At 42.7% G+C, this 17,689-nt stretch overlaps 1 protein-coding gene and 1 pseudogene across 6 annotated transcripts in view; both read right to left on the reverse strand.

Annotated features, from left to right (window-relative positions):
- Window positions 7,260-17,689, reverse strand: part of NDUFS1 (NADH:ubiquinone oxidoreductase core subunit S1) — a 44,628-nt gene continuing 34,198 nt past the window's right edge. For all 5 annotated transcript variants that reach the window (NM_001199982.2, NM_001199983.2, NM_001199981.2 and 2 more), the window contains one exon: window positions 7,260-16,719. In NM_001199982.2, coding sequence (NP_001186911.1) covers window positions 16,628-16,719 — 92 coding nt within the window. In that variant the 3' untranslated portion in view covers window positions 7,260-16,627. The remainder of the gene's footprint in view (window positions 16,720-17,689) is intronic.
- On the reverse strand, window positions 8,016-9,015 carry GCSHP3 (GCSH pseudogene 3; annotated as a pseudogene). The gene has a single exon (NR_033248.1). The product of NR_033248.1 is annotated as a GCSH pseudogene 3 (transcript).

The following is a 17,689-nucleotide window of genomic DNA, read 5'->3' on the forward strand; positions in this document are numbered from 1 at the left end:
AATCTTTTCTGGCACTCAGATTTATATGGGGTACCAATTCTTTACAAGATATTTGTCCTAATACCCCATTTTAATTTTTTAATTTTTTTATTTTTTTTGAGACAGAGTCTCATTCTGTCATCCAGGCTGGAATGCAGTGGCATGATCTCAACTCACTGTAGCTTCCACCTCCTGGGTTCAAGCAATTCTCCTGCCTCATCTTCCTGAGTAGCTGGGATTACAGGTGCCCACCACGACGCCCAGCTAATTTTTGTATTTTTTTTTTTTTTTTAGTAGAGACAGGGTTTTTGCCATGCTGGCCAGGGTGGTCTTGAACCCCTGACCTCAAGTGATCCGCCTGCCTCAGCCTCCCAAAGTGCTGGGGTTACACACGTGAGCCACCATGCCCGGCCTAATATCCTGTTTTTAAATGAGAATTATTTCAGTCTTACCAAAGGGATATATATATATATACATATATATATACACACACATACACACACACACACGTGTGTGTATGTATATATGTGTGTCTGTGTATATATATATATATATATATTTTTTTTTTTTAATTTATTTTTTTTGAGACAGAGTCTCGCTCTTGTTGCCCAGGCTGGAGTGCAATGGTGCGACCTCGGCTCACTGCAACCTCTGTCTCCTGGGTTCAAGTGATTCTCCTGCCTCAGCCTCTCAAGTAGCTGGGATTACAGGCACCTGCCACCATGACCGGCATTTTGTTTTGTTTTGTTTGTATTTTTAGTAGAGATGGGATTTCATCGTGTTGGCCAGGCTGGTCTCAAACTCCTAATGTCAGGTGATTCACCCACCTCAGCCTCCCAAAGTGCTGGGATTGCAGGCATGAGCCACCACGTCTGGCTAGGGCAATATATTTTATAAGTCAAGTCCAAATGAAGGATGTGCAGACAAAGTAAACTTTTAATAGTTGTTTATCACTTCTATAATACACACGATGTCAATGAACCTGTAGAAGATGCACTTCATGTATGACTGGGAATGATGTGAGAGGAAATTATTAGGTAAGCACATTAGAGGAAAACCATCAGAGATATGGGGAGTAAAAGGAGTAAGGAGCCCATCCCATCTCATATGGAACTAAAAGGTTTGAAAAAAGATTGACACATGCACTTGGCTAGGAGAGTGATGGATAAACAAGGAGAGAGTAACGGTCACAGAGGACACACACAGGAGTTACGGAGGAATAACCCCATTTTCCCAAGGGAATGCAGCTGCCCACGCATACACCTTCCCTTACTCCATTTCCCCCAGGTTTGCAGATACAAAATAAGCCCCATCCCATGAAAGGGTGTGGCTGTTTAGTTCCTGCTAAGTACACAATACATTTCCACTTTATGCTTTATGGGAATTGTAGCTGGAGGAGCTACAGAAAGGCATATGTTCTATTATTATTTAACTTTATCCACATAACGATATACCTCAGATCAAGGCTAGGTTGCTCCCAGCCTTTTTTTTTTTTTTTTTGAGGCAGTCTCGATCTGTCACCCAGCCTGGAGTGCAGTGACGCAATCTCGGCTCACTGCAAGCTCTGCCTCCTGGGTTCACACTATTCTCCTGCCTCAGCCTCCCCAGTAGCTGGGACTACAGGTGCCCGCCACCACACCCGGCTAATTGTTTTGTATTTTTAATAGAGACAGGGTTTCACCATGTTGGTCAGGCTGGTGTCTAACTCCTGACCTCGTGATCCACCTGCCTTGGCCTCCCAAAGTGCTGGGATTACAGGCGTGAGCCACCGCGCCTGGCCTTCTCCCAGTCTTAAAAGAAAAAAGAAACAGGCCAGGCATGGTGGCTCATGCCTGTAATCTCAGCACTTTGGGAGGCTGTGGCAGGCAGATCACTTGAGCCCAGGAGTTTGAGACCAGTCTGGGCAACATAATGGGACCCTATCTCTACAAAAAAATACAATAGCCAAGCATGGTGGCATACACCTGTAGTCCCAGCTACTCGGAAGGCTGAGGTAAGAAGGTCACTTGAACTTGGAAGGTTGAAGTTGCAATGAGCTGTGATCGTGCCACTGGACTCCAGCCTGGGTGACAGAGCAAGACCCTGTCTCAAAAAAAAAAAAAAAAATTAAAGATAAAAGAAAAGGTGGGGCACAGTGGCTCATGCCTATAATCCCAGCACTTTGGGAGGCTGAGGCTGGCGGATCACTTAAGGTCAGGAGTTTGAGGCCAGCTTGGCCAACATGGTGAAACTCTGTCTCATTAGTAATAAGAATACAAATATTAGCCAGGCGTGGTGGCCCACGCCTTTAATCCCAGCTGCTCGGGAAGTTAAGGCAGGAGAATTGCCTGAACCTGGGAGGCTGAGGCTGCAGTGAGCTGAGATCGTGCCACTGCACTCCAGCCTGGGCAACAGAGTGAGACTCGAAAGAAGATAGAAAGAAAAGAAAGAAAGAAAAAGAAAGAGAGAAAGAGGGAAGGGTGGGGGAGGGGAGGGGGGAGAGAGAGAGAGAGAGAGAGAGCGAGCAGGCAGGCAGGCAGGCAGGGCGCGGTGGCTCACGCCTGTAATCCCAGCACTTTGGGAGGCCGAGGCAGGCAGATCACGAGGTCAGAAGATCGAGACCATCCTGGCTAACACGGTGAAACCCCGTCTCTACTAAAAATACAAAACAATTAGCCAGGTGTGGTGGCGGGCGCCTGTAGTCCCAGCTACCGGGGAGGCTGAGGCAGGAGAATGGCATGAACCCGGGAGGCGGAGCTTGCAGTGAGCCGAGATTGCACCACCGCACTCCAGCCTGGGCAACAGAGTGAGACTCTGTCTAAAAAAGAAAAGAAAAGAAAAGAAAAGAAAAAAGAAGCCAACAGGCAAACTTGGGAGGGCCTTTATTCTTCTTGGCAGGGAAAATTGAGATTAGTGAAATTCAGTCATGCTTTCTTGTTTCTTTTAGACTTCAACACTATCCCAGGACTTCCCATCAGCAAAGTAGATGCTTTTGTTCTACAACAATGGGGCAAGGTCCCCCTACCCACAGGAACATGAAGAAAATCCCAAAGTCTTGGAAGGGTTTAAAGATCTCAAGAGGCTCAGTTTCTGTCTTAGTTTGCCTTGTGACTTGACACTTTCTTTAATTCAGAAAATAATTTATATTAATAATGTACAGTACATAGTCTGGCAGGGAGGTTACTTATGTTGCTGAAGGATACAGTAAATCTCATAAAGCGGAAATGAAACAGGAGAAACTGTAAAACTAGTTTGGCTTTCACCCCTGTACTCAAACTATAGTACCATTTTACTGAAACTATAATACTAAATATGTTATTTGAGGAATATTACTTCATTTGGGCCTAGTACTTAACTACTCTATAGCAGCAGAGACTGGACAATTATGTGCCAAGGTTCTTGAACTATATTTAAAAGCTTAAAAAGGCCAGGGATGGTGGCTCAGACCTGTAATCCCAGCACTTTGGGAGGCTGAGGTAGGTGTATCACTTGAGCCTAGGAGTTGGAGACCAGTCTGGGTAACATGGTGAAACCCTGTCTCTACAAAAAATACAAAACAGGCTGGAGGCAGTGGCTCACGCCTGTTATCCCAGCACTTTGGGAAGCTGAGGCAGGCAGATCACTTGAGGTCAGGAGTTTGAGACCAGCCTGGCCAACATGGCAAAACCCCATCTCTACTAAAACTATAGAAATTAACTGGGTGTTGTGGTGCACACCTGTAATCCCAGCTACTTGGGAGACTGAGGCAGAAGAATCCCTTGAACCCAGCAGGCGGAGGTTGCAATGAACCAAGATCACACCATTGCACTCCAGCCTGGACAACAGAGTGAGACTCCATCTCAAAAAAAAAAAAAAAGAAAAGAAAAGAAAAAACAAACAACAAATAAACAAACAAAAATATTAGCTGGCCATCATAGTACATGCCTGTAGTCCCAGCCACTTGGGAGGCTGAGGCAGGAGGATCACTTGAGTACAGGAGTTTGAGCCTGCAGTGAGTCATGATCCTGCCACTTCACTCCAGCCTGGGCAGAGCAAGAACCTCACTCAGGAAGATATAATAAAATAAAAGCTTAAATAATTTGAAACGAAGGGAAGGGCCTCAACTCTATCCTAAATACAACAGAAGACTCACCAACTTTATACTGGACACAAGTGCAGTAGAGTTTGGTATGCGGTAAGTGATGAGAAAATAGTTATAGATTGATAAATTACAGAGGTTTCATTTTTAATGTATTATTGTCTGTTTTCTCTTTTTTTTGATGCAAAGTCTCACTGTGTCACTCAGGCTGGAGTGTAGTGGCATCATCAAGGCTCACCACAACCTTGAACTCCCAGGCTCAAACTATCTTCCTGCCTCAGCCTCCCAAGTAGCTGGGACTACAGGCACATGCGACCATGCCTGGCTAATTTTTTAAAAATTTTTTGTAGAGATGAGGTCTCACTACATTGTCCAGACTGGTCTCCAACTCCTGGGCTCAAGCAATCCTCCCACCTTGGCCTCTCAAAATGCTGGGATTACAGGCGTGAGCCATGGTGCCCAGCCTGTTTTCTCTTTTTATGTCCCTCTTTACCACTGTGATACATACTACAGGGCTCTAGCAAGAACTAATATCTATTCTTTCGTTAGGGCAGTTTTAATTCTTTCATACTCCTCTCATCAAGAGGTGAGGTGTATGTTTCCCCCACTTGAATCCTGGTGGGTTCAGAGCCTGGCTTGACCAATAAAATTCAATGGAAGTGATGTCATATAATTTCTGAGGTTAAGTCATAAAAAGTCTCGCAGCTTCCTCTGTGATCTCTAAGAATTACCTTGCCCTTGGAGCCTTGAGCTACCCTATAAGAAGTCCAACTAACCAGAGGCTGACTTGCTGAATAGGCCACAGGAAGATCCTTTCTGGAAGGCAATCCCATCTGATCATGTCATTCCACCATTCCAGCCTAGGAGCTGAACATACGAGTGAAGATGCCATGTGGGAACTGAATCCTCCAGCCAGAACTGTTCAAACTTCTTCAGTCCCTAGTTGTTTGAGTCATCCCTAAATATTCCAGTCATCCAGCTGAGGCCCTGGCCTTGTAGAACAGAGAAGAGTTGCCCCCCTAACTGCTGTGCCCTTTCTGTATTCTGGACCCATGGACTCTCAGGAACCTAACAAAATGGTTGTTTTACATCAGTAAGTTTTGGGGTAGTTTGTTGTGCAGCAATAGGTAAGTGGAACACCTCTCAGAATCTGTGTGTTTTAGTTGGGGAGATAGCTGCCCAGCTAGATACTGCATTTCCCAGCCTCCTCACTTACGGGTGAACGTGGCTGTAAGTCCTGTGTAGGGTATGTGAATGGAAGATGCAATTTCCAAGTCATATCAATAAAATGTTAAGTGCTCATTCTCCGCTTGCATTCCCTCACCGCTTCTTTCTGGCACACCGACCTGGGGTACACAGATATTAAGGACGGCTGTCACAGATTGGATTCCCTAGGAAGCAGACTCAGAGCAGTTTAGCATGCAGAATATTTATTAAGGCGTTCCCTGGGAGTCAACACCTGTGTAAGGGAGGGGACAAAAGCAAGAGCGGGCAAAAGGAAAAGTTGAGCTGCAATGCAGATTCAATGGCAGCCTCAGCCAACCCCACAGAGAGGTCAGGAGCTAAAGTGGTCCTTCAGAATTGTCCCTCATTGGGCTGAGATGGCTAGACCTTTATACCTCCACAGGTATCAGTCATTGGATGGGGGTCATCCTGGCATATGCTTTTGCAAAGTTATAATCAGGATATATTAGTCATCTATTATTGCATAACAAAATAATCCAAAACTTAGTGACTAAAAACATGCATTTATTATCTCACAGTTGCTGTGTGCTAGAAATCCAGAAGCATGAGGTTGGGTGCTTCTGACTGAAGATATTTCAGGTTGCAGTTAAGCTGTCAGCTGGGGCAGCAGTCATCTCAACTCTATTGAGGCCAAAGGATTCAGCTCACTCACGTGGTTGCTGGTAGGCCCCTTCCTTACCACAGGATGCCCCTCTGAGCATGAGAGTATTCCTCAAGACCAAGGAGGAAGCTGCCTATGGGACCTCAGAACATGGAAGGTGGTGATCAAGCGTGGGAGAACCATAGAGAACCCAAAAACGAAACCCAAGAAGAATTAGGTTTTAAAACCTAATCTCAGTAGAATTAGGTTTTAAAACCTAATCTCAGTAGAATTAGGTTTTAAAACCTAATCTCAGTAGCGACATCCTTATTCATTAGAAGTAAGTTCAGCCCACACTCAAGGGTAGCGGATTACCCAAGGTCATCCCAGGAGGCAGGGATCATTGAGGCCATTTTAGAGTCTTCCTACCACACATACCATGCATAAGATTTTGTATACTTATATTTTTACTTTTTTTTTTTTTGAGATAGAGTCTCACTCTGTCATCTAGGCGAGAGTGCAGTGGTGCGATCTTGGCTCACTGCAACCTCCGCCTCCTGGGTTCAAGTGATTCTGCTGTCTCAGCCTCCTGAGTAGCTAGAATTACAGGCGTGTGCCACCATGCTCAGCTAATTTTTGTATTTTTTTGTTTTGTTTTGTTTTGTTTTTTGAGAGAGTCTCACTCTGTCATCCAGGCTGGAGTGCAGTGGTGTGATCTCGGCTCACTGCAACCTCCATCTCCTGGGTTCAAGCAATTCTCCTGCCTCAGCCTCCTGAGTAGTTGGGACTACAGGCGCATGCCACCATGCCCGGCTAATTTTTTGTATTTTTAGTAGAGACAGAGTTTCACCATGTTGGCTATGGCTGGTCTCAAACTCCTGACCTCAGGTGACCCACCTGCCTCGGCCTCCCAAAGTGCTGGGATTACAGGCGTGAGCCACCGTGCCTGGACTACTTTTTATCAACATTTTGTTTTCCTACAGATTCTTCATTTAAACAATTTTTTTTTTGAGATGGAATTTCGCTCTTGTTGCCCAGGCTGGAGTGCAATGGTGTGATCTCAGCTCACCGCAACCTCCACCTCCCAGGTTCAAGCGTTTCTCCTGCCTCAGTCTCCTAAGTAGCTGGGATTACAGGCATGCACCACCACATCTGGCTAATTTTGTATTTTTAGTAGAGATGGGGTTTCTCCATGTTGGTCAGGCTGGTCCCAAACTCTTGACCTCAGGTGATCTGCCCGCCTTGGCCTTTGGGATTACAGGCGTGAGCTACCGCACTTGGCCACAATATGTTGTTTCTAAAAATTATAAAGCAGTATATTGTAAAATTTTTCAAATGTTTGATCAAGGTATAAAATTCATTTCCTTATACTATACCACATGTTAATTGATCCAGGGGTAATCACAATTAAGTTTTTATTGTATCTGCTGAGATACTTTCCATACACACGTAAGCATATACATATATACACACACACACATTATTGTACACTTAATTTATGTCCTTAATACATTCTGAAGCACTTTCCATATCAGCACGTTGAGATCTAGCTCATTGGTTTAAACATCTGCATGTTTCATTTTATGATTATACAAAAAAATTTTTCAGCAGTTCCCTATTGATGGATATTTACATATTTTTGTTTTGTCTGACATGACAAACATTGCAAATGTACATCCTTTGTCTCATGATGAATCATGCCTTGAGTCTCACTCATATCTGATTTAGATGAGACTTTGGACTTTGACTTTAAAGTTGATGCTGGAACAAGTTAAGACTTTTTAGGGGCTATTGGGATGGAATGAATTTATTTTGCATGTGAGGACATGAATCTGGGGAGCCCAAGGTGTGGAATGCTATGTTTTGAATGTGTTGTCTCCACAATTCATGTGTTGGAAACTTAATCCCAATGCAACAGGGTTGGGAGGCGGAGCCTTCTGGGAGATGATTAGGTCACAAGGACTCTGGCCTCATATTTGATTGATGCCATTATAAAAAGGGTTTGCGGGAGCATGTTAGCTCTCCCTTGCCCTTCCATCTTCTGCCATGGGAGGACAGCAAGAAGGCCCTTCCCAGATGCTGGCACCTGATCATGGTCTTCCTGGCCTCCAGAATTGTAAGAAGTAAATTTTTTTTTTTTTTAACGAAGAAGTGAGTATTTTATTATTTTGCTGTACAGCTGTTGCTTCACTATATAAAAACAGCACCAGCAAATGCAGTGTATTGCAAAATTAAGATAGTGTTGTTCTTCATCTGACACTGTACAAGCAACAAAAACTTCTTCACTCCCAGTTATTTCCAATGGAAAGATCATTAAGTATTTCATCCCAAGTCCAGGTATGGACATACACAAGTTACAATATTATATAAGGCTTAAGAATAACAACATTATCTTTGAATTATGTAATTTTTGTAACTAATTTTTACCATGGATAATTTCATGGATAATTTCATGAATACTAGAGCCTAGTCTAAAAATCATAGGATGTTGTGAAAAAGACACATATTATGTTTATCTACAATCATTAGAAAGTTAAAAGGCATCTTCTTTCATTAGCAGTGTTAACAGTAGTTTTTTTTTCCCATGGGTAATGCTAAAAGTTGCTATTCTAAGTCTTCTATCCACCACTAATTTAGGACAACTCTGCTGGGTTGCGTTATTTCATACTAGCTTATTTAGTGGTTCCATTTTCACTCCTCAATAGATTTTATGTATTTCTCATATGCTTCTTCACTCATAAGTTCATCTAGTTATGAAGGGTTACTCAGTGTCATCTTGATCAGCCAACCATCTTCATAACGAGATTTGTTTACAAGTCCTGGATTTTCTGCAAGAGCTTCATTAATTTCGGTTACTTCTCCTGATAAAGGAGAATAGAGTTCACTAGCAGCTTTCACACTCTCCAAAGCACCAAACTCATCTTGTTTGTTCAATTTTGTCCCAACTTCAGGCAGATTACAGTAACCAGACGGCGCCCATCCCAAGCTGCCAGGGCCTCGATAGGCAGGGCGCGGCAGGTGCCAGGACCACGTGCAGGCTGCAGAGCACGGCCCGCACGCTCCGCACCACTCGCAGCGCCATGTTCCCAGGGGTGCGGGGATGGCAGCGCTACGCCTCAGCCACTCGCGCGGGGAGGCGGGGCGGTGTGGGCAGAAGTAAATTTCTTTATAAATTACCCAGTCTGGGCCTGGTGTGTTGGCTCACATGTGTAATTCCAGAACTTTGGGAGGTCAAGGTGGGAGGAGCGCCTGGGCCCAGGGGTTCAAGACGAGCCTGGGCAACATAGTGAGACCTGTCTCTATAAAATATTTTTAAAAATTAGCTGGGCGCGGTGGCTTACGCCTGTAATCCCAGCACTTTGGGAGGCCGAGGTGGGCAGATCATGAGGTCAGGAGTTTGAGACCAGCCTGACCAACATGGTGAAACCCCGTCTCTACTAAAAATACAAAAATTAGCTGGGCATGGTGGCGCACACCTGTAATCCTAGCTAGATCCTAGTAGATTGAGGCAGGAAAACTGAACCCGGGAGGTGGAGGTTGCAGTGAGCTGAGATTGTGCCACTGCACTTCAGCCTGGGCGACAAACTGAGACTCCGTCTCAGAAAAAAAAAATAAATAAATAAAAATTAGTGGGGCATGGTGGCTCACACCTGTAGTTCCAGCTGTTCAGGAGGCTGAGGCAGGAGGATTGCTTGATCCAGGGAGGTTGAGGCTGCAGTGAACTGTGATCATGCCACTGAACCCCAGCCTGGGTGACAGAGTTGCCTCAATCAGTCAATCAATCAACCCATCACCCAGTCTGTGATATTCTGTTTTAACAGCAGAAACAAAGACAACTAGACATGCCCACTGTGTTATGTACTTACCTCTATTAGAATATGTTATGTCATTACTATAATTGATGCCTACATATCTCTTTTAGTATACTGTTAGCTTCTTGAGGACATTAGCTAAATTGTATTTCTCTTTGTAGTCTTGGGTAATGTACTTGACACACAGTAGATACTCTGCAAAAAAATTTTGTTTTTCTTTTTGAGATGGGGTCTCGCTTTGTCGCCCATGCTAGAGCGCAGTGGCGCGATCTGGGATCACTGCAACCTCCGCCTCCCAGGTTTAAGCAATTCTCTGACTCAGCCTCCAGAGTAGCTGGGATTACAGGTGTCTTGCCACCATGCCCGGCTAATTTTTGTATTTTTAGTAGAGATGGGGTTTCACTATCTTGGCCAGGCTGGTCTTGAACTCCTGGCCTTATGAGAGCCACCGCACCCAGCTGATACTCTGCAAATGTTTAATAGATGTTGGAGCTGAATTTCAGGCTTTGTAATGTCACAGAACCAGGCATCAGAAGAGCTGATCCAAACCCAAGATCTGCCCCTAACTTGCCTCTTATTCTTTCTGGCCTCCATTTCCACAATTATAAAATGCAGGTATAATACTAAAATTTTTTTTTGTATAGTCCTTTACAGATCCAAAATTATGATTTTAAGAAGGAAATTAATAAGTTATTCATCTCAGTATCTCTTTAGGTGCCAATACTGTAAATTAATCACCAGTCTCAGATCATATATTTGCCATTTCCAACATATGCTTTTAGTCCAGTCTAATCACCAGTCTCAGACTATACATTGCCATTTTCAACATATGCTTTTAGTGAGTTATTTAAAAATATTAAGATATCAGATGTTTTGAGTATCAGCAATAGGTAAGTCAATCTCTAAACATTTTCAGTAGTGAAAAACACAAAAAACACTTTAAGCAGAGGGTATTTGGTTTTGAGATCCTTGTTCTCTTAAAATCTGTGATCTGAAATCTAGTCAGTTTTCTCATTAACATCCTTGTCCCTTGGGATAAATTAAATCAGCAAACTAAAGTGCTATGTAACTATTAAAATATTTTAAAATATTGGTTATTTAAAACTTATTAGGGGCCGGGTACAGTGGCTCATGCCTGTAATCCCAGCACTTTGGGAGGCTGAGGCAGGTGGATCACTTGAACTCAGGAGTTTAAGACCAGCCTGGGTAACATGGCGAAACCTCGTCTCTACAAAAAATACAAAAATTAGCCAGGTGTGGTGGCGTGTGCCTGTAGTCCCAGCCACTTGGGAGACTGAAGTGGGAGGATGGCTTGAGCCCAGGAGATGGAGGTTGCAGTGTGCTGAGATCATGCCATGCATTGCACTCCAGTCTGGGTAACAGAGCCAGAATCTTATTAGGGAATTCTGACATCTTCATCTTTTTATAAAAGATGGCCAGGCTGGGTGCGCTGGCTCACATCTGGAATCCCAGCACTTTGGGAGGCTGAGGCGGGTGAATCACCTGAGGTCAGGGGTTCAAGACCAGCCTGACCAATATGGTGAAACCTCATCTCTACTAAAAATACAAAAATTGACTGGGCACGGATAGCTCACGCCTGTAATCCCAGCACTCTGGGAGGTTGAGGCGGGTGGATCACCTGAGGTCAGGAGTTTGAGACCATCCTGCCCAACATGGTGAAACCCCGCCTCTACTAAAAACACAAAAATTAGCTGGGCGTGGTGGTGTGCTCCTGTAGTCCCAGCTACTCAGGAGGCTGAGGCAGGAGGATCGCTTGAACCCAGGAGGTGGAGGTTGCAGTGAGCTGAGATTGCGCCACTGCACTCCAGACTGGCAATACAGTGAGACTCAATCTAAGATAAAACAAAGAAACAAAAAGGAATGCACTTCTTAATAAGCTGGAGATTATTTTAGGCATGGCTTTCCCTCATAGTCTATGAAATTTTCCTACAATGATCATCCTCAGTTAGCACATGGGGCATTTAGTATATGTCAGGAAACAGGCCTAAGGTTTTTACAAGCTTTCTGATGTAATCATCAAAACAATTCTATGAGGCTGGAAGTAGGTACAATTTTACAATTTTTATCCTCATTTTACAGATGAAGAAATACTCTTAAAGAAAATGTTAATGTCAACAACAAACAATAAATTGGTACTGGGTATTGTCAAATATATTTTTTAATTTTTACTTTTTTTCAGACAGAGTCTCACTCTGTCACCCAGGCTGGAGTGCAACGGTGCAATCTTGACTCACTGCAACCTCCGTCTCCTGGGTTTAAGTGATTCTCCTGCCTCAGCCTCCTGAGTGAGTAGCTGGGATTACAGGCATATGCCACCATGGCTGGCTAATTTTGTATTTTTAGTAGAGACAGAGTTTCACCATGTCGGACAGGCTGGTCTCGAAAACTCCTGACCTCAGGTGATCCGCCTGCCTCGGCCTCCCAAAGTGCTGGGATTACAGGCTTGAGCTACTGTGCCAGGCCAAGTATATTTTTAATTAATGTATTCATTATAATACAATTTACTACAAATTTGAGGGGGGAGGCTTTCCATATGGAATTCAAGATATTTTTGGATATATATTCAACTTTTTTTTTTAAGAGTTGGGGGTCTTGTTATGTTGCTGATATGGTTTGGATGGCTGTCACTTCCAAATCTCATGTTGAAATGTAACCCCCAATGCTGGAGGTAGGGCCTCGTGGGAGGTATAGAATCATGGGGCAAATCCTTCATGAATGGCTTGGCACCATCACCTTGGTGATGAGTGAGATCTTAGTTCATGTGAAATTTGGTTGTTTAGAGTCTGGGACCTCCTCCTCTCTCTTGCTCCCTCTCTCACCATGTGATATGCTCGCTCCCATTTTGCCTTCTACCATGATTGTAAGCTTCCTGAGGCCCTCATCAGAAGCAGCTGCTGGTGCCATGCTTTGTGTACAGCCTGCAGAAACTGTAAGCCAATTAAATCTCTCTTTTGCAAGAATTACCCAATCTCAGATATTCCTTTACAGTAATGCAAACAGATTAAAACAGATTAGTACTGACAGTGGGGCACTGCTATACATATTGGAAAATGTAGAAACAGCTTTGGAACTGGGTAACAGGCAGAGGTTGGAAGAATCTGGAGGGCTCAGAAGACAGAAAGATGAGGGAAAGTTTGGAACTTAGAGACTAGTTAAGTGGTTGTGACCAAAATGCTGATAGACATATGGTGAAGTCCAGAGTGATGAGGTCTCAGATGGAAATGAGGAAGTTATTGGGAACAGGAATAAAGGTACATCTATGTCATGCTTTAGCAAATAGCTTGGGTGCATTGTGTCCAGGCCCTAGGAATCTGTGGAAGTTTGAACTTAAGAGTGATGACTTAGGGTATCAGGGTATCTGGCAGAAGAAATTTCTAAGCAGCAAAGCATTCAAGATGTGGCCTGGCTGATGCTAGCAGCCTACAATCAGATATGGAAGCAAAGAAATAACTTAAAGTTGGAACATATTTAAAAGGGAAGCAGAGCGTAGAAGTTTGGAAAATTCACAGACTAGTCATGTGGCAGAGAAGGAAAAAGCACTTTGAGGAGAGGAATACAAGCAGGCTGCAGGAATACAGTTGTCCATGCTGGACTCAACTCATTTGCTCAAGCAATCCTTGTGCCTCAGCCTCCCAAGTAGCTGGGGCTATAGCTTGTGCCATCATGCTCAGCTATTCACCTTACATTGCTGTCCAAAATGTTTTCATTTGAGGCAACCTGGGATAGTAAAAGTACTTCTAATTAAACACTCCTGCCATTAGTATCTAGCTGTGTAGCCATAAATAAGTTATTTGATATTTCTTGAGTCTCAATTAATACCTACTATTAGCAGAGATTTTGTGAAGAATAGTCTTAATGTATTTAAAGCTTTAATGGCACTTATTTAGAAGGTCCTCAGGAAATGGTATTATTATTCCAAGGTCTTTCTAGATTGCCTTATTCACCTAAAGAGACTTGATCTTGAGCCTTTGTAGATTTTCTCATTGGTGATTCCTTCACTGCTTAGAATGTCATGATTCCACCAGACAGGTTACTCTCATCTACGTGTATTTTTCTTACATCTTTTTCAGTCTATTTTTCTCTAGCAATTATCTTCAATGTTTATGCTTACAATAACCTTAGTATTTGGCATTACGACACTAATATGTGCCCATGAGACAGACGGAGCACTACTTATCCCAGAGGAGGTATTATTTATTTATTTATTTATTTTTTGAGAGGGAGGCTTGTTTCTTCACCCAGGCTGCAGTGCAATGGTGTGATCTCGGCTTACCGCGACCTCCGCCTTGACTCTCAGTTCAAGCGATTTTCCTGCTTCAGCCTCCCCAGTAGCTGGGATTACAGCCATGTGCCACCATGCCTGGCTAATTTTTGTATTTTTAGTAGAGACAGGGTTTCACCACGTTGGCCAGGCTGGTCTCAAACTCCTGACCTCAATGATCTGCCCGCCTCAGCCTGCCAAAGTGCTGGGATTACAGGTGTGAGCCACCGCGCCCGGTCCAGACAAGGTATTTTTTAGAGATTATGATTGTTCACCACAAGCTGCCTAGCAGGTAGCCCAAGGATCCTGGATCAACTTAGCTATATAGCATCTTTTCTATCTGAATGCAGTATTCTCTTACCCACAACCATATGAAGTCTACACATATTCATTAACAGTATTATATAAAATACAAAATTGGGACTATGTCCCCTCAAGATGAGCACAGTGCTAAGAGGTAAGAGATGGGAAGTTTGTATTAAGTTCAAACACTTTTGGCAAGAATTTATACAATTTCAGGTAACTGGGCATTTTAGGCAAAGCACACAACTTCATGATGTATCACTGAGGAGGATAAGATAAACAGTTCTAAAAGCTGGTACAGGTGACAAATTTTGTGCAATTTTAAGTTTTACATTTTTTTGTACAAATAGGATCTTGCTATGCAGTCCAGGCTGGTCTTGAACTCCTGGCCTCAACTGATCTTCCTGCCTTGAACCCCCAAAATGCTGGGCTTACAGGTGTGAGCCACTGCACCTGCTGTTTTTAAAGATATTGTAACATACTATTATTCTAAAACCTTATCCTTTGTTGTATCAGAAAAACGACATCCTAGACTGGGCGCGGTGGCTCACGCCTGTAATCCCAGCACTTTGGGAGGCCAAGGCAGGTAGATCACCTGAGGTTAGGAGTTCAAGACCAGCCTGGCCAAATTGGTGAAACCCTGTCTCTACTAAAAATACAAAAATTAGCCAGGTGTGGTGGCGTGCGCTTGTAATCCCAGCTACCGGGGAGGCTGAGGCAGGAGAATCGCTTGAATCAGGGAGGTGGTGATTGCAGTGAGCCAAGATCATGCCACTGCATTCCAGCCTTGGGTGACAGAGTAAGACTCCATCTCAAAAAAAAAAAAAAAACAAAGGGAAAAAGGGCATCCTATACTTGGGCTGAGTCTTTAGTGAAAGCAGAAAAGAATAAGGATTACAAAACAAATAAATTGTGAACATAGTTTTGTTTGTTTGTTTGAAACAAAGTCTTGCTCTGTTGCCCAGGCTGGAATGCAGTGGCGCAATCACGGCTCACTGCAGCCTCAACCTCCTGGGTCAGGTGATCCTCCCACCTCAGCCTTCCGAGTAGCTGGGACTATAGGTGTACACCACCACACCCAGCTAATTTTTGTATTTTTTGTAGAGATGGGGTTTCACCATGTTGCCCAGACTGGTCTCCAACTGCCTGGGCTCAAGCGATCCACCCACCTTGGCCCCCCAAGTGTTGGGATTACAGGTGTAAGCCACCACACCCAACCTTAGATTAAAAAAAAAAATTATCTATTTTTAATTATCTCCTAATTGTAAAATTTTTACTTCCTTTTTTATTTTTTTAAATTCTCAGTGATCCTTATTCTGATTCCTTTTGGTTTTGACAATTAAAAATTATGAAAGCTGGTTGTTTTGTCTCCTATTGCTGAAATAATTTAGTTGATTTAACACTACAGATGGTGTTAGGATAATGAATACAGAACATCAATGAGAATCTAAATTATATCTCTTGAGACCTCCCTCATTCCAAGGGAGGTCTCATAAGTATACATGCATACATGTATAACTTATAAAAAAAAAAAAGCCACATAAATCACCATGACATTATAGAAGCAGATTCAAGAGAAAATAGAAAAATGTGTTCACCATTAAACTCAATACTAATTTTTAGAAGTAACAACCTATAGAATCAACATTAATGAGACGAAATAATATGTTGCAGTTAAGAACAACAGGCTTTGGAGTAAATAAGAAGTAGGTTTGAGTTGGTGACTTTTGCTGTGTGGCCTTGGGCAAGCTATTTAATATACCTAGGCTTCAGTCTTCATCAGTAAAATGAGATAATACTACTATCTCACAGGGTTGTAGCAAGAACAAAAGAAGATAATGCATGTAAAACCAGAGTGCTTAGCACATATAATAAAGCTAAATTATCATTAGCCATTGTTACTATGATTATTATTAATTATAATTATCCTAGATACATATCTGAGCATGATTATGTATTTTTCCTATTTACCCAGCTTGACAAGGTGCTTAAATCTTTTCTTTAGCACTAGAAAAAAGTAGGTTTTAATTGAACCTCTTTTCATTTCATCCATTTTACAGACAAATTATTTATGAAGATAAGCCAACAACTCATAATTTAAGGATCTCTTTATGTTCGTCACAAAGGTTATCAATGCTTTTAAGAGCATCTGCATAGTTTTGTTATTTAACCTTTACACACAATACATGTTTTTCAAACTGCAAAGTTGATAACTAATATCATTTTCAAATAGGCATAGTATAACCTTAAATATTACATGATTCAAATTATTATTATTTTTTTTTACAAAGAAATAAACCTGTAAAGGATCACTGCACTACAGTTGTCCATTAATTATCTGCGGCAAAACTGGGATCCTAGTAGAAGCTTCAGCATATGGATGGTTCCTCTACTGCCTGGGCACCCTCTGTGACAGCTTTGACACATTTGGCCATTGTCTGTGAGGCTCTGCTAATTGAATCTGAAAGATATTAAGAAAATGTCATTTTGATAATACAACTTTTTAAAAAGCACATACTAAAACTTTAATGGTGCACATATTCAGGAGGAAAAAAGATTATAAGGCCCTATGCAAGTATATATAATTATATGTAACCAACAGATTCCAACGATAAACCCCTTACTGGCCACATGCTTTCAATAACTATCCCTGGAAACAATCAAATAACTATAGAGCAGCTAGACAGTGCACCAGTATGCAGCCATTAAAAAATTATAGAAAAGTATTAAAAACATAGGAAAGGCCAGGCGCGGTGGCTCACACCTGTAATCCCAGCACTTTGGGAGGCCGAGGCAGGTGGATCACGAGGTCAGGAGATTGAGACCATCCTGGCTAACACAGTGAAACCCCATCTCTACTAAAAATACAAAAAATTAGCCAGGTGTTGTGGCATATGCCTGTAGTCCCAGCTACTCGGGAGTCTGAGGCAGGAGAATCGTGTGAACCTAGGAGGCGGAGCTTGCAGTGAGCCGAGATCACACCACTGCAATCTAGCCTGGGCGACAGAGCAAGACTCTTGTCTCAAAAAAATAAATAAATAAATAAATATAGGAAAAATGTGTACAATACTATTATTGAAAAAGGTTACAAAACAGCATATGTACTAAAATACATTGAATTGTCCACTTCATGAGTAAATTTTAGGGTACATGAATTATATTTCAATAAAGCTATCAACCCCCAAGTGAATAATCTCACTTTTTTTTTTTTAAAGAGACCAGATCTGACTATGTTGCCCAGGCTGGTCTGAAACTCCTGGATTCAAGCCATCTGCCCCCCTCAGCCTCCCAAAATGCTGGAATTACAGGCATGAGCCACTGCACCAGGCCTAATCTCACCTTCTGTTTCACTAAAAAATATATAGGCCAGGGGTGGTGGCTCACATCTGTAGTCCCAGCACTTTGGGAGGCTGAGGTGGGTGGACTGCTTG

Source organism: Homo sapiens, chromosome 2, assembly GCF_000001405.40.
Source record: "Homo sapiens chromosome 2, GRCh38.p14 Primary Assembly".
NCBI classification, from domain to species: domain Eukaryota; kingdom Metazoa; phylum Chordata; class Mammalia; order Primates; family Hominidae; genus Homo; species Homo sapiens.